The 24,452-nt window shown below is 38.8% G+C and overlaps 1 protein-coding gene across 3 annotated transcripts in view; it reads left to right on the forward strand.

Annotated features, from left to right (window-relative positions):
• PLCL1 (phospholipase C like 1 (inactive)) overlaps window positions 1-24,452 on the forward strand; it is a 345,271-nt gene that overhangs the window by 174,663 nt on the left and 146,156 nt on the right. Inside the window, exon 1 of one of the 3 annotated variants that reach the window (XM_017004339.3) lies at window positions 22,640-22,753. The exons of the other annotated variants lie outside the window; for them this stretch is intronic. Coding sequence (XP_016859828.1) covers window positions 22,751-22,753 — 3 coding nt within the window. The 5' untranslated portion in view covers window positions 22,640-22,750. Of the gene's footprint in view, window positions 1-22,639; window positions 22,754-24,452 lie in introns of those variants that run through there. 3 annotated transcript variants of the gene reach the window in all.

Raw genomic sequence — 24,452 nt, forward strand, 5'->3', positions numbered from 1 at the left:
GTTATTTTGTCCAATTGATATGAGGTTGTTTTTGTCTTTTTGGTTTTGATGCAGTGTTTTGGTAGAAAAACATAGCAAACAAGATTTTACTAATATCACTAAGTTAACTTTGAGGTACCCAGTTGTTGCTAACGTAGTTCTCTACATCACCAAATATTACTGATCCCACCATTACAAGACCTCTGAAATCTATCCCTTTCTCTCCCTTCACACTGTAGGGGCCGGATTTCTGACCCTCACCACCTCTCTGCCACCAGCTTCATCCTACTGCTATCTGTCTGCAGAAGAATCATCTCTGGTGGGGCCACTTCTCTGCTTACGCACATTTTCTGATTTCCTATTGCTTCCAGAATTAAGTCCAAGTCCATTTGTGGGACCTCTGAGTCCCTTTAGATTCAAATCCCAGTTGCCTTCCCCAGGTTCATCTCTTGTCACTTGCTTAGCTGTGTCTCCTGTCCCCAGCCACATTGAGATTTTCACTACTCCCAGAAAGACCCATGTTCTTCTGGGGCTTGAAAGATCCCTCTAATTTCTTCCCCTGACCCATTCCCATTCATTATTTAATAAAAACTCAAGTATTACCTCATCTGTGGTGCCTTTCCCTACTTCCTCAGAGAGCAGCCCCCTTTCTGTGTTCCTATACCATTCATTCACTCATTCACATATTGAAATCCAGGTAGTTAAAAAGTGCTGGGAATTAAGTGACCTAGAAACCTTAGTCCCTGGACTGTAAGGGGCTGTATAGGGATGTAAAAAAGAAAATGACAACATTGAGGGCAGGGAGGGGACCAAATTAGAGAGACTCCATGCATTAGAACAAACTCGAGGAGTTAGTGCCTGACTCTGTGTGTGGGAATGCAGAAAGCGGAAGAGAAGAGAACAATCCCCATATTCCTGCCTTGAATGACACAGGTATGTGGCTGTCCATGGACACAGGAAATGAAAGGAAGGAGCAGGCGAGGTGGGAAGTGGGACCAGTTTAACTTTGAGGTGACTTTAGGACATCTGAGTGATATGTCCAGTGTGCAATGGGATTTATGGATCAAGAGCTCAGGAGAGGAAGCGGAGATTAAGTTAAGTTTCTGGGAGGTTCCAACAAGCAAATAGCAGTTGATGTTAGGAAAATTTCTGAATTTACCAGGTGCTCCATGCCCTTCTTTTGTTCCGTATCATATTGTATATCTGGTGACATAGCCTGCTTTCCCATAAGGACACTCACTTATTAATTCACCTCGTATCCTCAGTGTCTACTACACTGCTTTGCACATAAAAATTTCATTTCAAGTGAGAGAATGAATATGAGTTCACTCAGCCATGTCTTACTCATGGGTGAGAGAATATTGAAATTGATCCATTTAATAAATAATGTATTGAGCACCTTCTATGTACTGGGAAGTCTCCTGGCCACTGGAAATACAGCAGTGAAAATGATAGTGGGGGAACAGTAACACAGTAAATAAGCAAGATAATATCAGATCATAAAAATGATCATAGCTAATACTATGGAGTTCTTATTATGTGTCAGGGCCTGTCCTGAGCATTTAACATGAATTTTAAAATTTAATATTCACAATATCTTATAAGGTAGGGAAATTAATCGAGTAATATGGTGGCAAATGGTCAGAGAAGGCTGTTTGCAGTTATAATGGAGCTGAATTGTGAAGGAGCCAGCCTCAATGAGATCTGGGGGAAGGATGTTTCATGCACAGTTCAAGTAAATTTAGGTTTTATTAGGTTCGTTTTTGCCATTAAAAGTAATGGCTAAACTGCAGTTACTTTTGTACCAATCTAATAAAACCTTCTTCTTTTAATGTGAAAAGAATACAGACTTTTCTTAATCACTGCAAGTTGCATTCACTAGCCTTCAAATACTCTACACCTTAGTTCACCTACAACCAATCAAACTAGCAGTAGTTAATTGTAGAATCTAAGGTTAGGGCAAAAGACCTTTCCACGTACATTAAGACACACATGTAGCTTGTAGTGAGTGGAGATTGGGGAATTTTACCTCATTTGTACTCACTAATGTATTATGATAAAGATCAACAGGAAAATGATATGAAAACACATGTAGAAAAATGATTTAGATTCTAAGGTAGATTAAGTTAGGAAAGAGCAAAATCATAAAGATATACCTACTTTATCTGCTCACTCAATCAGACTAAATTCTTAATGGAAAAGTTTCTTAGGAACAAGCAAATATAAACAATTACTTTTTAATTCATTTTTCCTGATCTGTATAGGTTATTTGCATGTAAATCATATTGACACACAAACTTTACTTTGTCAATCATTTAGGGCAACTATGAAAAGATTAATACAGTAGTTGGACTTTTGATTTTCCATCTTGTTCTTACGTAGAATTTTTGATGAGACTGTGATGGCTAAAGGGAGGGAGGAAGTTCATCAAGGGCCCGAAATGTCTGTCTGTTATTAGAAAGGAGCCTTCATTTTCCAGAACGAATTTATCCATAGCAATCTGTAAAATAAATCTGTGTAGAAAGACGTCTCAAACTAGGCATGATAAAAGTTAGGGCCATACTGCAGGAAAGAAGCTTAGAAGGATCTTCTCATCCAGTGCCCTCAGTTTATAACCCAGGAGAGGCCAGCTGTCTTATCTAAAGTCACAACCTAGAAGGGATGAGATTCTGGGTAGCATTTCTTGATAAACTTGCATATTTACTTAGAATTATGCATTTTAAGCTTATCTATGTATTTTAATTATTTTAAGTTAGAAAACTGTAATATAGTTTTAATTTTTAAATATAATTATATTTTATTGCCTTAAGTTTAATAGTTTAATAGTTTAATTTATGTGGGCATTTTGTATTTAATCATGGGAAAGTAAAAACTGTTATAATTCAATTTGATTTACTGAATTAGTGAATAAATTTATTTTTGTCTGAGTTTTTATTAAAAGAGACGAATTTTAATCAATAGAATTTATGTATATATATATGTATATATATATATGAAAGTCTAAAATTGGAACAAAATAAAAAGGTGATGCAACTAGGAGCCCCTTTGTATCTCTACTGTCTTTTGGGCTTCCTATTTTTGCATTATTTCCACTTTTATTGATAACCAAACACTTTCCAAATGTTAAGTGTATAATCTCAGAGGGCTAGTTAGGAATTTGCTGAAGAGTGGTAGAGAAAGCCATACTTTTAACTATCTTTAAGCCTCCTCATGCTTTCTAAGAAATTAATCTTCTTTTTCTGTTTCCCGATCTCTTCCCTTCTGTCTGTTTCACTTGGTACTAGATCAGCTCTTATCATTCCTCCTGCAGTTGAATCCACATTCTGTTTCCAGGATTTTACGAATCTCAAAAATTTGAAAGCTACTGACCATTCTGGAAAATAATCAGTTATGGGTGCACTTACATATGTAAACTTTAATATATCACTTCACATTTTAAGTGGACCTTACCATTGTTTTTGCCTCCTTTTGTGATATAAATGTGGGGTAACCTGATCTGCTGAGGGAGTAGCTGTGATCCAAACATGTGAGTTGAGTGCCCACAAGGCAGGGCTGAAGCCTTGGAGGACCTCGCATCCATCTTTAGCTACAAGTCAACTGGCTTCTCAAAAACAGAACAGCCTCAACAATTTGTTGATTCAAAACTTTTAAATATCAATATTTTTCAGATTAATACTTTTATTTGTCTAACATTTAAATTTATATATTTTTCTTAGCTAAATGTTTGTTTGCTTAATTTTAAATTGGTAATAATAAAAATTGGCTTATAAGTGAACAATTTTGATAGATTTTAGTTCATTATTTAGTTCATTATTTGTAAAATGCATATTTTCCTTCCCCTTTATCCCTGTGTTCAAATGAGGAGTTATTATTTGCTTCAGGAAGCTTCTCTTGGGGATTAAATAAGCATTTTCTTTTCTTTTCCTTTCTTTCTTTCTTTTTTCTTTTTCTTTTTCTTTTCTTTTCTTTTTTTTTTTTTTTTTTTTTTTTTTTTTTTTTTTTTTTGAGACAGGGTCTTGCTCTGTTGCTGAGGCTGCCAGGCTGGAGTGCAGTGGCACAATCACAACTCACTGCAGCCTCAACCTCCTGGGCTCAAGTGGTCTTCTCATCTCAGCCTCCTGAGTAGCTGGGACCACAGGCGTGTACCACCACGCTTGGCTAATTTTTAAAAAACTTTTTGTAGAGACGGAGTCTCCCTGGGTTGCCCAGGTTGGTCTCAAACTCTTGAGCTCAAGTAATCCTCTCGCCTTGGCCTCCCAAAGTGTTGGGATTACAAGCATGAGCTGCTGCATCAGGGCTAAATAAGCATTTTCTATAAAAGGTTTATTAGCATAATATCTGGCCTATAGGAAGGATGGAATTTATGTTAGTTGTTGTTGTTGCTACTATTATTGCCAGACCCTGTGCTAGGCACCGAAGATAGAAAGGAGATAAAAGTGTACTATCTCAAAAGGATCAAAGCCTGGTGATGAGGCCTGTAGGGATCGAGTTAGAATTACGATTGTTTTCTAAAGATGGAACTTTGTGGCTATTTTGTAGTTTGGGTCTGGAGCCTTCTGCCATTTTACACACCAGGTCTATGCATCTGTTCTTTAATGCAATACATAGACCTGCAAAAATACACAAAGGATTACAGAAGGTGAATAAAGAGTAGTATTTCCATAACATAGCATGGAACCCAGCAGCCTCTAGTTAAAAAGTTTTACTGTGCTTCCCAAGTTCTTGATTTAACTTTATTAGTTGAATCTTCCATATGCCTTCAAGGGAAGCATAACTGAAATACAACTAGCAGTTGTATTTATATTAAGCTTCATCTAGTTTGTTATCAAAGTATAATTTTTGCTTTGTTGAAAATTTTTTAGATTTGTTTTGATTAGTCTGTGTAGTGATTAGGCAGATCTGTGGAAAACGGGTACTTTCCAATTTCTTGAAATTCTAAACATGTTTTAATGGTTTGTTTCAACATGTTTTACTTTCAATGTTTTAGTAGCTAAAGGCGCATTACTGATTAGAAGACAAATAAGCTCTTTTGAGTTACTTTACAAATTTTCATTTATCTCTCATGGTAATTTACAATTACTAGAGAACTTCGGTTACCTTAAAAACATTTGAGAGTAATTTTTCTTAGCACCATAGATGGTAATGTTGATATGTGGAACAAAATCTTCAATAGTGACTGGCTCTGATTTCCAAGGAAGTTGAAGGTACATTGAAAACATTTTCAGTATTAAGAAAATACATTAAAAATAACCCATTTAAATATGCTCTACTAGATCCTCAATAGTAATAGTATCATGTTCACAGTTTATTCTGTTAAATATTTGGATTTTTCAATAATGGGTTTCTTTCCTTTTAACAGTTTTCTCCTGAGTGGTCCATAATACCAACTTGTTAAATTTGCAAAAGAGATTTGTATTTCAAATTTAAGTGCAAGAAAAAGCTAATGTTTCTACTGATGTTGTTTATAACAAGAGAGTGAGAAGGCCCAGTGAAACTGTGAGAAGAATGATTTATCTTACTTACTGCATTAGAAATCGGCCTGTTATTACTTCGTTGGCTTCTACAAAAGAGCTTGTAAATAAAATGTTATAGCCCTAATTGAAAATAAAAGGATAGTGAATGGAATTTAGCCCTATTCATCCTTTTGGATTTAAGCATGATTCATTTCAGCTAAAAATTTTAAAAATCCTCACTTTCATTATGGTTTTTTTTTTTTTGTTTGTTGAGACAGAGTCTCACTCTGTTGCCCAGGCTGGAATGCAGTGGTGCGATCATTATGTACATTTTTTAATGCAAGTTTAATGAGTATCCATATCTCAGATTAGCACAGCAATTTTTTGAGGCATTTAGAAATTCCCAGATGTACTACCATGGGCAGCTGAATGCTTTGGTGCAAGCGCAAGGTAGGATCAGAGCAACCTAGGGTGAAATCCTACTAGCTGTGTAACTGTTGCCCACTAGCTGTATAACTCTGAGCCAGTTGGTTAAGCGTGTGAAGTCTCAGTTTCTTTACTTGTCAAATGGGGAACAAAACAACCACCTCACAGGGTAGCTTAGAGAAGAAAGAGAAATTCATTATGTAGAGCATATTGCAGTGTTTTGTTAATTATACTTGGAATCCTTTTTAAAAGGATGGCAGTAGGCTGAATTACATTCCTGCATGGCAGTAGGCTGAATTCTTACCCAGTTTAGTATCATCTGATATTGAATACAGCTCACTTCATATAGGATGAAGTGAATAAATAGTCTAAGCCAGAGGAGTTGGCAAACTATAGGGCCTTCTGCCTGTGTTTGTAAGTAAAGTTTTATTGCTAATTACCCTGATTTGAGAAACATGACACTGTACCCCATAAATATGTACAATTATTTTATATCAATGATACATAAAAAAGTTGTTTTATTGCAGTTCAGCCTTGCTTATTCATTTAAGTGTTGTCTGTGTTTGCTTTCATGCTATCATGGCAGATTAGTTGTGGCACAGACCTTGTGACCCATAAAGCCTACAATATTTACTGTCTGGCCTTTTACAGGAAAAGTTTAGCTACTCCTGGTCTAAGCTGTTGTCAGGGGATTGCTTAATTGATATTATGAAGTGTTGTGGTTTGCACAAATGAGAGGATCCATTTTAAGTGAATTACTGTAGGAATAGACTACAGCATTACTTAGCTATTTTTGGGCTCACCAGAGAAGTCCAAGGATTATCTGTGATTAGTGGTGAGATCCTCTGGAATAGATGGGAATAAAAACCTAGTACCTACAGAAGGGCATTTGGACAGGACCAAAACCTTCTGTGGTTCAGTTTCAGAGTGGGGAGAAGCCAGGGAGTGATATTAGATTCCTATATGACATCCTTTATCAGCCTACAGCTATGGAAATTGTTCCAAGCATTCATTACAAAGTGGATTTAGTTATTCTTAAAAGGTCTTTGTGAATCATCCTAAATCTTAAATTAAAAGATTGTAACCCGATATTACTATGTAGAGACCCTGGAATTAATGCATTTTACCTGGTTATTAGAGTAGCTGCTTCAGGTGCCAGAGTAGGCAAAACTAGACAAGGCTCTGTGTGCTGCAAATGACTGAAGGTCTGAAGCCATATTCCACTTAATTTAATCATTTTTAAAAATTATTATTTTAGAGCAGGGTCTCACCCTGTTGCCCAGGCTGGAGTGCAGTAGTGTGATCATAGCTCACTGCAGTCTCAGACTCCTGTACTCAAGTGGTCCTTCCACCTCAGCCTTTGAGTAGCTAGGACTATAGTCATGCACCACAATGCCTGGTTAATTTTTTAAATTTTGTAGAGATGGAGTCTTACTATGTCGCCAGGCTGGTCTTGAACTCCTGGCCTCAAGCAATCCTCCCGCCTCAGCCTACCCAAATGTTAAGATTATAGGTGTGAGCCACAGAGTCTGGCTTCAATTTAATAATTTTGATAGATTTAACATCAGATCAATTGCTGGCCTCTACTGGAAGTTCTGAGAAGTCTTTCATTTTTCATAATAAGTAATATTCTACCATCCCAAAGTCTGCTTTTCTCCTTAATTGATCTTTGGGGAGTTAGACAATACAATCATCATTCCTGAGAGCTATTTGGTGCTTTAGAGTTTACAAAGTGCTTCCATTTACACAATTTTATTCAAATAACATAATCACCTTACAAGCTAGAAGGGTTGGAATCATCCGTATTTCATACTGATAACAACTTCAGGTTCTACGAAGTTAAGCCACTTGCCTAAGGCCATACAACTCTAAAGGGTGAAGGAGGGACTTGATTTGTCTTCTGACTTCATATCCCATGTTTTCTCTGCCAAGTTATTTTGTCTGATGTTAACTCTCCGCCAAGTTTACTGAAAAATAGCTAAAATATAAAGTCTCATTAGTTTTTAAAGTAAGCATCCAGAGGAGAGAACATAGAGACCTTTTCACCAGAAACACGTATCATCTAGATCAGAGCTGGCAAACTGTTGGACCATAAGTCTCATCTGGCCTGCAGATGTGTTTGACTTAGCCTCTATAATATCGGCCTGTACATGGCTTTATTAAACAATTACATGGATTTAGCTGTTAAGTAATATCACAAATAAGTCCAGATTTCCAACTTCTTTAGAAAAGTCAGATCTGGCCACACTGTGCCCACATTCATGCATGGCAGTAGGCTGAATTTAAACAGTTGTCTCCTTTGGAGGGGGCATTTGCTTTCTAGTTTCTACAAGTCACTATAATGCCCTGTTGCCCTCCCATTCAAACCTCACTTCAATCATTTAGGGTACCTACCTGACTCCTGGAAGCATTTGAGTTTGTGATCCCTGATCTAGACTAGGATACTCATTTTGTGAATGAAGAAGTGACATTCGAAGTAGTAAGTCAATTAGGCAGCACCAAGATTACAACTTGTTTTCCTGAGACAGAGCCCTTTTTTGGATCCTGGCTTCATGGCCAGATTATCATTACTGAAGAATAACAGAACAGCAAGGGAATAGTAATTAGAAATGCCAAAATGATGCACACTTTTAAATAAATGGATATGGTTTTAGTGAGGGTCTGCTATATATTTTATATTTATGCCATATTAGCCAGACTTAAAATATTTCAAACATCAGACTATGTATTGTATGTTTCAGTTTTGAAAACATGGGTCACTGTAAACTGAATGAATGAATTTCATTTTCTTATGTTGGAGAAGTTGATTGGAGGGTGCATTTTTGAATGAATTTCAGCACTGAGACTGAGTTTCAGTTTTAGAAGCAGAAGGTGCCTCATGTTAGATAATAGCACATGTTAAAGAGAAACTGAGGGAAAGAGCAGTGATCGGTATTGCGGGTATATACTGAGAAACTGGGATGAGTGGATGCAGGAGTGGACTAGCACTGTCAGCCACAAGTAGGAGCATGTAGAAGCTGAGTGAGAATAGGCAGTTTAAAGGAATTGACGGTGGGACCTACCCAGTGATAAGAAGGGGTGTCAGATATATAAATGAGCTGAGTGAGTATAGTGTTGATCACTTATTTTATTTCAATGGCTTTTGAGGTACAGTGGTTTTTGGTTACATGGATGAATTGTATAGTGGTGAAGTCTGAGATTTTAGTGTACCTATCACCCGAGCAGTGTACATTGTACCCAATATGTAGTATTATTTATTCCTCACCCTCCTTCCTTCTCATTCTGTGTCCATTATATCACTCTGCATGCCTTTGCCTACCCATAGCTTAGCTCCCACCTATAAGTGAGAACATACAGTATTTGATTTTCCATTCCTGAGTTACTTCACTTGGAATAATGGCCTCTGGCTCCATCCAAGTTGCTGCAAAAGATGTTATTTCATTCTTTTTTAATGGCTGAGTAGTATTCCATGGTGTATATATATCACATTTTCTTTAACCACTCATTGATTGATGGGAACTTAGCTTGGTTCCATATCTTTGCAATTGTGAATTGTGCTGCAATAAACATTTGTGTGCAGCTGTCTTTTTGATATAATAACTTCTTTTCCTTTAGGTAGATAGCCAGTAGTGAGATTGCTGGATCGGATGGTAGATCAATTTTTAGTTCTTTAAGAAATCTCTGTACTGTTTTCCATACAGGGTGTACTAATTTATGTTCCCACCAGCAGTGTATAAGTGTTCCCCTTTCACCATATTGACACCAACATTTATTGTCTTTTGACTTTTCAATAATAGTAATTCTTGCAGGAGTAAGGTGATATCTCATTGAATCACTTATTTTTTGTGAAGTGTAATTTCTAGGATGGATTATATAGTTCAAACCCAAGGGGATAAATTATATCCTATTGAGTGAAAGAACTAACTAGGGGACTTGCAAAAAATAACTATAATAAACAATGAAGAGTAGAAATTCTTGTTTTTTGAATGAACCTACAAAATGCGTAAAACAAAATATTTGATGAAAACATTTTCAGATTATGATGGCTGTTCTTATTACTATTCATTCATTCATTCATTCAGTAATTATTTATAGAAGTTTGCTAGGTGTAGGGCACCATACTGAGCATTGGGGAAACGTCTCTGCCTTTGAGTTGCTTTTGACCTAGTTGGGGAGATAAAAAAGGAAGACATGGAGTATTCTACATAAGGCAAGCCCATGTTAAGTTAATGTTTTGGTGGCTTAGAGAAAGAGACACCACTTCTCCTAGCTTGACTTTCTGAGGGATGAGGACCAGGAATTTGAACTAGATCTGAGGGGATGAGTAGGATTTGAAATACCAGAGGAATGGTAGAAGTTTGTTTAGGGAGGGCCTTGACTTCCAGGCTAGATAATTTGCATTTCAAAGAGATGGTTTCCAAAACTGACCAAGTGAGCTTGGTGCTAAGATCATAATATACATTTAAAAGTGTTTTGGTTACTCTGGAGGCTGAGGCATGAGAATCATCTGAACACAGGAGGCGGAGTTTGCTGTGAGCTGAGATCGCACCATTGCACTCCAGCCTGGGCAACAGAGTGAGACTCTGTCTCAAAACAAAACAAAACAAAACAAAAAACAAAAAAAAAAGTGTTTTGGGATGGATTACTTTCAGTGGAGTTTGTAAAATGCCTTTGTGAATAGCTGCGATTTAGAAAACAGCTTGCTCAGGAGAGAATCAAAACCTTCCTAAGCAGAAATAACCCCTCAGACTTGCACCTGGAGTCCACTTGGAGATTCTCCCAGGTATTACTTAGGATACACAGAGACTAATATACAAATGAAGGAAAATGTACAGATAGTGCCTACTGGTAATAGATTACAGTTGGAGAATCCCATTTTGCTAAAGATAGTATTGAGTCTGGAATGTTATTTAATTTTCAGTTCCTGTATAGGCCTATGGAAGTCACCTTATATTGGAGTCTTTATAGAGTCTCTCATGTTACAGGGCGCTGCTCAATTACCTTATTTTGAGCAGCAGACCACTTGAGGAAGACACATTAGACCTAAACGAGCTCATCAGAGCTATTTTTATTTGCTCATAGAGATGTAGCTGACATGATGGGTAAAAAAAAGGAGGCAAATAAATGGAATACAGTTTCTGTTATTATTCCTAGAGATATGAGTTTGCAATTGCAGGTGCTGGATATAATTTTAAACATGCCTTTTAAAGCAATGCAGCAGATATTTTGTGGATATTACAAACATACACCTCAGGACAAAAGGAAAGCTAACCTAATATGACTGGAATTCAAGGTGTATGGTAAGATTTCCAGTGAGGGTATGTATTAGTCCATTTTCATACTGCTATGAAGAAATACCTAAGTGTGGTTCCACATGGCTGGGGAGGCCTCACAATCATGGCAGTAGGTGAAGGAGGAGCAAAGGCACATCTTACATGGCGGCAGGCAAGAGAGAGTGTTCAGGGGAACTGCGCTTTATAAAACTGTCAGCTCTCATGAGACTTATTCACTATCATGAGAAAACCCACCCCCATGATTCAATAACCTTCCACAGAGTCCCTCCCATGACACATAAGGATTATGGCAGCTACAATTCAAGATGAGATTTGAGTGGGGACACAGCCAAACCATATCAGGGTAGATTCAGAAAATGTTTCTCTAACAGTTTAGACTGATGCAAAGGTGTACTTTTTGGAAAACTCTTTGATGACTTAAAGTTTAAGTGGAAATGTAGAGTCTGGATAAAACTCATGGAATTTATAGCATTCCAAGATTAATATATAATTTTATAGGATGTGTTATAGAATATGGATAATTAAATTAATTATATAACCATTAGGTTTGAACAAGTATTAATCCTGGAGGGAGTGAAGGTTAATTTTACGGTCAATTTGAGTGGGCCATCGGGTGCCCAGATTAAACATTGTTTCTGAGTGTGTCTGTAAGGGTGTTTCTGGATGAGATTAGCATTTGAATTGGTGGACTCAGAAGACTTCCCTCCTGGTGAAGTCGGGCATCATCCAATCCATTGAGGGCCTGAATAGAACAAAAACAAAGGAAAGAGAAACTCACCCTTTCGCTTCGTGCCTTCTTGCTTGAGTTGGGACCTCTCATCTCATCTTCTCCTGTCCTTGGACTGGGATTTATAATTTGGCTCCCCTGGTTCTCAGGCCTTCACACTTAGACTGGGAATACCACTGGCTTTCCTGGGATTCCAGCTTGCAGATGGCAGATGATGGGATTTCTCAAACTCTATAGTGGCATGAGCCAATTACTCATAATCTCTCTCTCCACTTCCCTCTCTCATTCTCTCCTTTCCTCTCTGTGCATATATAACCTCCTTTGGTTCTGTTTGTTTGGACAACTCTGACAAATACAGATGGTCATTATAAAGCAACTTTATTTTTGTCACCCACTTTTGTTCTTTTAAATTTATTCTGTGCTCCTACTTATTATTGTTCTGGTTTGAAATTTAGACACAGCCTCATGGTTCTTCCAGTCACTTCTACTTCCACTGGAAGTACAGTCTGCTTAGTATATTTATTCCAAACTTCAGAATTTATTGAAGTTAAAGCTTCCCCTTTCTCCCAGTGCAGGACTGCTGCAGACGAGCCCTCATTAGTGGGAGATGTGCTGAGAAGCCCTTCTCTTTCCCACTCAGTGCTTCTACTTCCTCTCATCCTCTCCTAGCTTACTCCCCTTGAAGCATGGTGGGGTATGTCATCAGAGTGAGGAGAGGTTGGAGCTGAAAGCACCCACTGTCTTCTGTGGGGCCTGGAAATCTCTCCCTCACCGGAGATCGCTCATCTGTGCTTGTCTTCCATGGGTGAAAACATTTCTCCTGGTTCGTCTCTCCTGATGCTTTGCTCAGCTCTGCACACAACTTCAGTTTCCTTTTGATGAGGCCCCTTGCTTGCTTCTCAGCATTCATTTTTTTTTTTTATGATTAGCAAGATTTTTTTAATTATACTTTAAGTTTTAGGGTACATGTGCACAATGTGCAAGTTAGTTACATATGTATACATGTGCCATGTTGGTGTGCTGCACCCACCAACTTGTCATTTAACATTAGGTATATCTCCCAATCAGCATTCATTTTTAAAACTGTGGCAAAATATATATATTACAAATTCATCATTTTAACTATTAAATTAAATTAATTTATTTTTGAGACAGGGTCTCACTCTGTCACCCAGGCTGGAGTGCAGTGGAGTAATCATGGCTCACTGCAGCCTTGACCTCATGCGCTCAGGTGATTCTCCCACTTCAGCCTCCTGGGTGTCTGGGACCACAGACACACACCACCATGCCCAACTAATTTTTGTGTTTTTTGTAGAGACAGGGTTTTGCCATGTTGCCCAGGCTGGTCTCAAACTCCTGGGCTCAACCAACCCCCCTCCTCAGCCTCCCAAAGTGTCGAAATTACATGCATGAGCCACCATGCCTGGCAATTTCAAGTATTTTAAAGTTATAATTGTGTGATTTTAAGTGTATCTATAGTGTAGTGCAACCATCACACCACACATCTTCAGAACTTTTTCATTTCCCCATACTGAACGCTGAAACTGTACTCATTAAACACTAACCCTCCATTTGCTCCTCCCTCCAGCTCCTGGCAACCACCATTCTCCTTTCTGTTTCTATGAATCTGACTACTCTGTAACCTCACATAAAATAAATCATATGATATTTGTCTTTATGTGACTGGCTGTTTTCATTCATGTTGTAGCATGTGTTCAAAATTTTCTTGTTTTTGGAGGCTGGATAATATCCGCATTTTGTTTATTGGTTCATCTTTTGAAGGGTACTTGGGTTACTTCCATCTTTTAGCTGTTACTAATAATGCTTCTGTGAACATAGGTATGCAAATATCTGTTTGAGTCCCTGTTTTCACTTTTTTGGGGTATATACCCAGAAGTGTAATTGCTGGATTGTATGACAATTCCATGTTTAATTTTTTGAAGAACTGTCACACTGTCTTCCATAGTGGCGGTACCATTTTACATTCCCATGGGTTCCAATTTCTGCATACCCTAGCCAACACTTGTACTTTTCTGTTTTTATTTGTTTGTTTTATAATAGCAATCCTAATGGGTGTGAAGTTGTATCTCATTGCGGTTTTGATTTGCATTTCCCTAGTGACTGGTGATGTTGAGCATTTTTTCATGTGCTTTTTGGCCATTTGTATATCTTCTTTGGAGAAATGTCTATTCAAGTCCTTTGCCTGCTTTCTAATTAGATTGTTTGTTTTTGTTGTTGAGCATCAGCATTCTTGGGTAGGATTTCTGGTGACCCTGTGCTGGTCCCTGTGTGCTCCATCATCAGGGTCAGGGAAGCATACAGATGGCACACTCCAGTGGAGGAACTGAGGAGAGCTTGGTGAAGAGATTATTCTCAGAAGTGTGGGCAGTGTTGAGATACTAACAAGGGATGTTGAAGTGCCTTGTGTAACAGTGTAGAGTCATTATCACCCCTGGGCCTGAGGGGACAAGGAGAAGGCATGAGGACAGAGAGCCTAGAGAGAGCTACATCTGCAGGAGAGGACTGCCCAGCAGAAGCTGTCAACTTCTCTAGAACCTGTGCTAACCCAGCAGGGAGAAAACTGGGGGGATAAATACCCCATTCTCTCTCCCCTTCCTTGTTCTTGTCTTCTGCAGGTGCCTCCTGTTGGACAAATGTAGCTGGAAGTCTGTGATAATTTCCATCAAGGTCAGTCTCTTGGGCATAGAGCAGGATAGTAACAGGTGGAGGCTGGGTCTACAGTGGTAGACAAGATATATCCAGCACATGAGTGGAATTCCTCTTTGGTCCACAGGATCTTCTACCCATTGTTGGGAGTGCAGTTACTTCTCAAACCACAGGCTTTTCTCTGCTGCCCTAGGCTGCTTCAGTGAGTCACTTACCCTTTAGGGTTCTCAAGAGTGTGAGTTAGTCGCCATTCCACCACAACCAGGAAGCATGTGAGCTCTAAAAATTCCACTGAAGCTCCTTACTCTAGGCTTGAGGTGAGGGACAAATTCTTCCCCAAATTCTTCTTGCGGGGAAGATGAGACTCATAGCACACCAGTAACTTTCTCCAAATAGTCTTCTGTAATCTCCAACTACCTAGACTTTTATGCCCTCAGTAGAGATGAGGAGAAGGGTAAAATCTAGGAAACTGCAATCTTTACGCAGTCCTTTCACACCTCACTGTGAAATATGCTGGCTATGGGCTAGGAACTTTAGCAGAAACTGGGGCTGAATTGGTTGTATTTTAACATCCTGTAACAAACATCATATGCAGTCCATATCCCTAAAAGTTTGTATATTTTGGTAAATATAAACACATTTTTAAGAAAGTCATCTGAGTCAGAAATGGGAAAGATTGCTTTATATTTGGGATTACTTCATATTTGGGGATATAAGATATGCTTTCTTTGACATTTTCCCAATGTAGAAACACAGGCCAAATAGGATAACTCATGAATTCCATGAAATTTATCCAAGTATCTCTTAGCTTTAAGTAGCTAAAACCTAAATTAGGTAAATGAAAATATTTCAACATTTGGTAAGGTGTGCCTAAATTAAAGTTCACACTAGAAACATTCTTGTTTAATTTCAGGTGAGTTCAGTAGAGTAGTTTCCTTGGCATAAATAATTTCACATCTAACTGTTTATACTTTTAAATGTATTTTAATTGTGAAGGCCTAATTTCTGAATTTAGTTTAGAATAAACCTCTAGCCATTTTCTTTCTTATGTATGTGATCCCCAAAGCAGACGTGTCCTAGGCATCAGTTTTCTTATCTAATCAGAGAACCAGTGAAGAAAGGAGGAACCTGTCATCTCCATGCAGAAGCAAGGGATTAAGTGATTAAGCTGTCATTTCTCAAAGCCTTTCTCCAATGCTTGCCCCATAAGTTTTGGGTTTTAAATGAGTTTAGTGGAATTCTGCAGTCTTAACATATGGCACATATCCATGACTTCAGTAAATTACAGGTACTAACTTTTGTTCTTTCTGGTGCAGATGTGTTATCATTTTGCTCTGTTTTGTTTTATAATGTCAGCCTTCTCTGTGTTATTAATGTAGTGTCATGTGCTACCATTTTAGGTAAAAAGCTTTTTCTGTTATTTCCTATGAATCTCCTAGGAATGGACCCATTTGGAGAACCAGACTGTTCATTCTTTCCTTTCCCTCCTTTTCTCTTCTTCCACTCCTTCAAAGTATTGGTTGAGTTGCTATATTATGTGTCACAGGCATTGTTCCAGGTGTTGGAGAATCTGAAATGAAACACAAAGTCCCCCTGCTCCAGGAGCTTGCTATCGCCATCCAATGGAAAGGAAAGCAACAAGTAAATAAAAACTGCCACATGATATACATGTCAGACAGGAGACACATGGTATAATGAGAATACCACAAAGGGGCCTAATGGGGTGACCCAAGGTGGGTCCTGAGGGTTTATGAGGCAATAGTTCCATAATCAAGGAGAAGAAAGGCAACCCTGGGCGGAGAGCACAGCATGGGAAGGCCAAGACCAGGGAATCCCTGGCATTTGAGCAGTCAACAATCTCAGCGTCAGCCATGTTCATGGTGTGGTACAGTGGTACTTTTGTGGAGGCATACATTTTAAATTCATGCCCTGGGTGGCCAGTGTACAGGAGGAAATCACTTAATGGGGGGGCGTGTGCCCAGCTGGCTGCTGGTATCTGCTTCTTTGTTTGGCTCTGTCTTTTGCTTGCTATCCTAGATGCAATAACTCCTATGAAATGAAAGCAAGAACTTTCTGTCTTAGTGACAAATGGTCATCTTATGAGAGTTGAAAGGTTAAATTGTCACATGAGTTTATGCACAGGAAATGTGATTTGGGGGAGAAACAAGTGCCTCTGCAAACATTTTTGTATTTGGGAAGTGGGGATGATTGCAAGGTTTATGCCTGCAGCGACAGGGAGGGGGCTGCATACATCATGTTGTGTGAAGAGACGGGGCATTGGAGGAAGAGCAGGTTTGTTCAAGGTGACGGGCAAGAGGGAAAGGGAAAGGAGGGAGAAGAAAGATGGAAGGAGATGATGAATTCTGTTGAGTTTGAAGAGAGATCCAGGCCAGAAATGCTGGTTAGGAAGGCATTGGTGCTGCATGGTAGTGGAAGTCACAGGGGTGGACTAGGTCATTTGAAGAATGCACAGAGAGATGAGAGGGCTAAGGAAAAATCTGAGGAACAGCACAGGGCATTTTTAGGGTAGTGAAACTATTCTGTATGATACTGAGGATATGGTAGATAAATGACATTATATAGTTGTCAAAAGTCATAGAACTACATAACACAAAGAAAACTCTATTGTAAACTTTGGAATTTAGTTAATAATAATGTATCAATATTGGTTTATCAGTTGTAACAAATGTACCACCAGAATGCAAGAGGTTAATAATAGGAGAAATTGTGCAGTGTGGGGAGAGGTGAATATTGTAGGAGCACTGTATTTTCTGTAAACCTAAAACTGCTCTAAAAATAAAGTCTATTAATTAAAAAAAAAAGCCAGTGAAGATCAGTTATGTGCATAGCAGCTATACTTCTGCAGAATCTCCTTGGTGAGCGTGCTTTTTTCAGGCTTACATAATACAGTTAAAAGAAAGAAAAATAACACTCCCCTCACAGAGAAATAATCAGCTGAACAAATCACTAGTTATCAGAATGCAGGCTGTAGTACATCCTGTTTTTCTAACTCCTCTAAATTTACTAGTAAAGCAACCCAAATTGCATGGAGGAGGGGAGGTCATTGCTTGCTGTCAAGGCTGCACTAATGACATTAGGGTGGCATTAGCGTACCAGGGCTCTCCTAGTCCTCACTACACCACATTTTGAATGAGTTTTGCTTGGACAAGTGTTGAGGGTGAGGTGGCGGGAGAGGGAAGGAGAGAGATAGCTTGTGCTTTGTCCTATTACCTGAACCAGACTCAATTGTCAAACATTTTTAGTGTCGTTTTCCTGTGCTCACGGAATCCTGAGAGTGTAGCACTACTGTGGGGAGGGCAGGAGCCAACAGGTATAGCTGGCTTATCCCAGCATTTCTTCCTTCCCATCTGTGCACAGCGTAAGTGGCACAGTCCACAGAGTCCGCTCCCATTTTCTCTCTTCCCCCTTAATGGGGCGGGGGCGTGAGCCCAGCTGGCTGCTGGTATCTGCTTCTTTGTTTGGCTCTGTCTTTTGCTTGCTATCCTAAATGCAATAACTCCTATGAAATGAAAGCAAGAACTCAAAGCTCAAGTGGTCAAAGCTCAAGTGGCAGCCAAGTGGTTTCTTGTGATCTGCTGAGGTCGGCTTCTGATAATTAGAAGTGACAGGTGATGACTATGTTATCATAACCTGCAGCCACACCACCTTCTTCTGGTTCTGAGACAATGTGTAGTAGAAATGGTTATTTGTTCATCGAGCTGGTCCCCACAATTCACACCCAAAGAGGCCTTTTCATGGCCCTGCACGCACTGATGGCTGTTTCAGGTAGACAAGCCCAGCAGTGTGGGAACCCAGATATCTCCCATTCTGTGTGAAGGAGCTACCTAGTTTCTGGAATTTAACTAGATTAGAACCTCAAGTGATGCATTATAGGTCTGAAGAAGCATGCCAATCATGACCTTTATCTTCCATTTTATGAACCCTTGGAGTGGAGCCTTTAGAAAGAGGAAACAGCAGAGAGAGGGCCTTACCTTGTGGCCCATGTGGTGACATTTTAGGAGCTGCAAAAAGGGTCCCTTTGCCTCCCAAAAAGTTCCCTGAGGCTGATTCATTCAATTCTATATTTAATGTTTCATTTAGTAACACTTTAGATTGAGGATTATTGTTTTATGTTAAAATATAAATACCTTCTGGGTATTAACTCTTTTCAGTTATAGCCTTTATGGTAAAGGAGTTGCCAAGGGCTCAGAATTTGATAAGGCAAATGGAGGAGAAAGCATGAGGGCTTAGTGGGTGGGAGTGGTGGAGAGTGATATGGAGCGAGACAGAAACTGAAAACTGAGGCCAGAGGAGAAGAAACTGTGCCTATTTATTCAGTTTTTCCTGGGAGTTTCCTTGAGAAGAATGGAGCTATGTGTGTGTGTGTGTGTGTGTGTGTGTGTGTGTGTGTGTGTGATATGAGATTGCTTGTGCGCCTGTGTGCATGTGTGTATGTGTATGTGTTGAACGATACTGTGGAAAGTTTGGGATAAGAAATGATAACTGGGAAGAGCCAGACATCGAATGCAATATTCTCAACTAACATTCTTCTTAGAATGATGCTTGGTTCCCTGGAGACTTTATGATCATGAGTGCTAAATGTGTGAGGGGTGTGTGTAGGGAGGCAGAAACAGTGATGGTTTCATAGATGTCCAAGTTGCTGCTACCTTTGTAAAATCATTATTTGTCCCTTCATCTCTAGCCTGTTAGGTACCAATGTATTTATTGCCCACTCGAACTACTTCCTCTCATCATGGGGGCCTCCTGTTTTTGAGGCAACATAGGAAATTAGGACTGATGACGCTGCATCAGAAAAGCTTTTGTTTTCACTTGGTTTAAGTCTGATAGAGAAGTTGGCTACATAGAACCTCCACAGGCAGTTGCTCCAATGACTTAAAATGAATTTGTCCTTCTGCCTCAACTCTCCACAGTTAGCATGTGCTCATTCACCCACTCCTTTTTATGGCCCTTGGATTCACCCAATCCAAGGTGAACTACTTCCTTACTTCTATGTCTTCACTGTCTTACGATCTTGATCAAACAGACAACACACTCAACGAAGGTGTGGGTGGGAACGGAACCCACCCACATGATTGTGAATCACCTAGAGACTGGCAGCAGAAGAAAATCACTGCCACCCTAAGCCTTGAGTGGCCAGAGGAGAGAGACACATTCATTTTCAGAACTAGTGAGAGCTACAGCTCTGGTAAGGAACCTCCCAACAGGAGTTGTGGCCATGGGTAGGACAGCTCAAGACCATAAGCTGGCAAGGAAAGATCACAGAGGAACCAGTATCCTGATCTTTCTCTATTCAGCTATTTCTTCCCATTGGTGGAAGCCCAAGAGAAACACAAGACCAGGGTCCCTAAAGGTCAGCTTCTCAAGGCACAGAGCAGGGCACAGAAAGGTGGTGTGTCATACTGGAGGGGCAAAAAAGCTGGCACCATCTCACTTTCTGCATGTATAAAATGAAGACGTAAACTGCCAGGATTGAATGTGATCTACATACAATCATTTAGCACAGCACCTGGACAATAAAAAGGACCCTATAAATGTAGTTTAGTAGTAGCAGTGATAGTAATATTAGAACATTTTTACTACATTTTAGCTATATCATAAGTAAGTGGCTCTCCCTGTAGCCTAATAATTAACATCCCTTATCATATCCTAAAATTTGTAAGAAATAGGCTTAAGTGAGACTTGCTTGTTTAGTGATATTCATACCTGTAGATGTGAATGTATAGCTACATGCTTCTTTAATTTGGACAGAGAGAAATGTAGAGAGTTGTGATTTCATGATTTCAATTCTACAGAATTCTATAGATTAGATGTATAGGGCGTTGCTGCCCTAATGGATACCATAACAAAGAAATACCCCATCTTTTCCTCTCTCCATGACTGAGCATCTGCCTTAGTGCAGATTCTGGAAAGGAGGGGATGGACCATGAAATTTAAATTGCATATATAGATGTGGCTATGGAAATCATATAGAACCAACATTCCTCCCTTTCTTCCCTCTCCTACATATTGTATATGTAATACGTATGTGTGTGTGTGTGCTTATCCACAGAATGTGTGAGTTTGAGGAAAAAAACAAGATAAAACACATTCCGTAGGTAGTGCAGTCACACATAGCTGAAAAACCTGTATCAGTTATCAATTATCTATTTGTTTGGAGCAAATTCCTGCAAATCATTAAATATACAAATTTCCACTTTCATTGTTAAATTACCCAAAGTATAATCTCAAATAACCTCTGACCTCCTGGAGTTGATGACAGTTTTATACTGAAAATAGAATTTTTTTTTGTACATCTATAGTGTATCTTAAATTACCTAAAAGAAAGATGATGCCAGGGTAGTTAAGGAGGGAGGTTTCAGTTTTGGCCAAGTTTCGTACATCTTAATTGCGATACTTTGCACCCCATGGATACCTGTGAGTGCAAAAATGTCTGCTTTGTTTGGACTTATATTTATTTTTATTGTCTTCCCACTTTTATTTTAGATTCAAGGGATACATGTACAGGTTTGTTATCTGGCTATATTGTGTGATGCCGAGGTTTGGGGTACAAATGATCTTGCCACCCAGGTACTGGTCATAGTTGTTTGTAGTTTTAGAAGAAAAAATGAATGAGACTCAATTTAACACTGGTAATATCCCTTCTTTCCCAGGGAAATTTAGTGAGTTGAAAGTTGCAAGAGTAATGCTGTTAGTGTTAGTCACTTTTCAAAAGTGTTTTGCCATTTAATATTCATTTTTGGGGTCTTCTGTGTGGTCATGTGGGCCTACTATATTATACTTTGAAGAGATCAGTGAAGTCATATGGTTTAAAGTTTCACTTGATGAATGAGCAAACTGGTGTTCACAGGGGCAAAGTGACTTATTCGAGGTGATAACACTGGTGAGCTGGAGAACAACCTGCTATCACTTTATTTCCCTTTTTTTTTTTTATCTTGGAGACTTTTATTGAAAGGAACTATTCAAACTTTTCAAACTTTTAAGGTCCATATTTCTGAGTTCTGAGTGTTCTAATTTGATTATTCATAAAAAATATGCACAGTTCCTATTCTCATGGAGCGGATAGTTGATTTATGAATATATGTGTATGTATCCTGTTAACGAGTCATCATGACTAAATTAACTTAGTTAAGCTACTTAACTTTTCAGAGCCTTAAGTTTCTTATAGGCCCAGCAAGTTTTATTGGAAAAAAATGGGCTTCGAAGGCAGAGAGATGTGGTGTTTTCTGTTTACTAGCTGTATAAGTAACTCATAGAGGAATAATAGCCTCCTCATGGGGTTGTTTAGAGGGTAAAATGAGGTAACCTACATAGAATACCTGGTTTATGCATTCCTATTGTATCTGTAAGTTGGAGATGACACTGTGCAACCTATTTACCACATGGCATTGTGATTACCATGGAGACAATGGTTGGAAAAGGGCACTGTGAACAGTGAAGTGCTGCTGTCACATCACTTATTGAGGGATTTTTTTTGTTTGCTTAGTTATTTCAACGTAAGCTTTCTATTGAGGGACAACATGCACACAGAAAACTACACACAAGAGTGTACAACTCTATGAATTTTCACAAAGTGAACATACTTGTGTAACCAGAACCTAGATAATAAAAGAGAACCTCCTAGAAAGCCCCAAGGTACCCTTTTCCCATCACTACCTCATCTCAAAGATAATTATCCTAACTTCTAACTCCATAGATTAATTTCTCCCATTTTGGAACTCTTAACCAATGGAATTATACAGAATGTTCTCTTCCCTTTCTGGCTTCTTTGACTCCTATTATGTTTGAGAGGTTGATCCATTTTTTTTCTGTGTAGTTGTGGTTCATTCATTCTCATGGCTCTAGAGCAGGGGTTCCCAAACCCCGGTACGGTCTGTGGCTTGTTAGGAATCAGGCCCCACAGCAGGAGGTGAGTGGTGGGCAAGCGAGCTAAGCTTCATCTGTATTTACAGTCACTCCCCATCACTCACATTACCACCTGAGCTCTGCCTCCTGTCAGATCAGTGGCGGCATTAGATTCTCATAGGAGCGCGAAACCCTATTGTGAACTGTGCGTGTGAGGGATCTAGGTTACGTGTTCCTTATAAGAATCTAATGACTGATGATCTGTCACTGTCTCCTATCACCCCCAGATGGGACTGTGTAGTTGCAGGAAAACAGCTCAGAGTTTCCACTGATTCTTCATTATGGTGAGTTGTATAATTATTTCATTATATATTACAATGTAATAATAATAAAAATAAAGGGCACAATAAATGTAATGTGCTTAAATCATCCCAAAACCATCTCCACCCCCTGGTCCATGGAAAAATTGTCTTCCACAAAACCAGTCCCTGGTGCCACAAATGTTGGCAACTGCTACTCTAGAGTGTCCTATTGTACCCCACAATTTATGTATCTATTCTTCAGTTGATGGGCTTGTGGGTTGTTTCTAATTTTTGGCTTTTATGAATAGTGCTGCCATGAACATTCTTACATGTGTCCTTTGAGAACATATGTATGCATTTTTGTTGTATATATATCTTGAAATCAAATTTCTGGGTGGTAGGATGGGTATACAAAGGTTTGATTTTAATAAATAGTGACAAATAATTTTCCAAAGTGTTTGTACCAATTTACATGACTACAAATATAATATTTTTTAACATCTGTAAAATTGTTACATTCATAGTGGGATATACAAAAATACAGCTTGAATCATTGAAAACTGGGTTTATGTTTTTCTCTTTTGTTGACATTCTATTTTAGTTATGTTCTTAGATTGCATGGAATACAGCCTCATTTCCAGTAACTTAGCTTGTGGGGAAGAAGGGTGTTATTGTAAAGATTCTTATGCATATAAACTCAGAAAAAGCTAAACAGTGAAGCTTTAAAAAGGCCAGAAAAATGTACAGGTGCCAGGCTGTGGGATCTTGAGTGTTCTGCTCTTTAGGATTGATTCTGGTATCCTGAGGGTCTGTCCATCCTTGTGGGACCTGTATTCTGCAGGCAGGTACCATAAGGTACTGCTGTAGGCCAGCATCATTCTGAGTGAGCATCTGTTTTGTTTGGTTGCTCTTCTACCATGCACTTTGTTAAACATTTGGTCATCATCCTGCTTAAGGGAAGCCCATATTTGCAATCATTTGTCAGGATTTCCAGCCCTCTATGTGAACTATGTTACCATTTCTAAGCAATTAACTTCTGGAAGCTACCTGCTCTCATTGGTCCCTAAGGAGTAGATGGATGTACTGTCCGCCCTTCTAGATTTAGAGGTTGTTAGATACTCTGTATTTATACTAGATGCTAAATGAACTACACAGAATCATAAGAAATTCATAAGAAAACTTTAGCAATCACAATTTTTTAACTAATAATGTGAGTTTTTAAATAATAGACATAATTCTTAATGTAAACTTCTACTAAGACTACTTTACAATTTTTTTTAATATCTTAAAAAACAAGGGGCACTTCTTGCCATTTTGTGCTAACTTAGTCTTTATTGGTTGAACTAGTGCTAGGCAAGGAAGGAATTAGCTATAGGGAGCAGGGAAGACAGATCTAAACAGTTCTGCACTTATGAGCATATTAGTGAATAATAGAGATGCTCCTTATGGAACCCAGGCATGAAAACCATCCTTGGACCTGTCACATCTTGGAATTATGTGCTGGACTCTTGTATTGGTTCGTTGACTTTAGTTGTAGTTTAGGAAGTGATAGCCAGAAACTTGAACTCTTGCTTCTAGCTTTTAGACCTTCTACTTAAGACAGAAGAACTATGTATTTCACCTCGTCTAACTTCTAGTATTTCAGATAATTTCTTCTCAGATACTTTTTTTTGGCTCAACCTATGCTTAATATTTTTAGCTAATGCTCACTCTGTCATCATTAAAGTGGTTTGCAGAAGAA

This window comes from Homo sapiens, chromosome 2, assembly GCF_000001405.40.
Source record: "Homo sapiens chromosome 2, GRCh38.p14 Primary Assembly".
NCBI classification, from domain to species: Eukaryota; Metazoa; Chordata; class Mammalia; order Primates; family Hominidae; genus Homo; species Homo sapiens.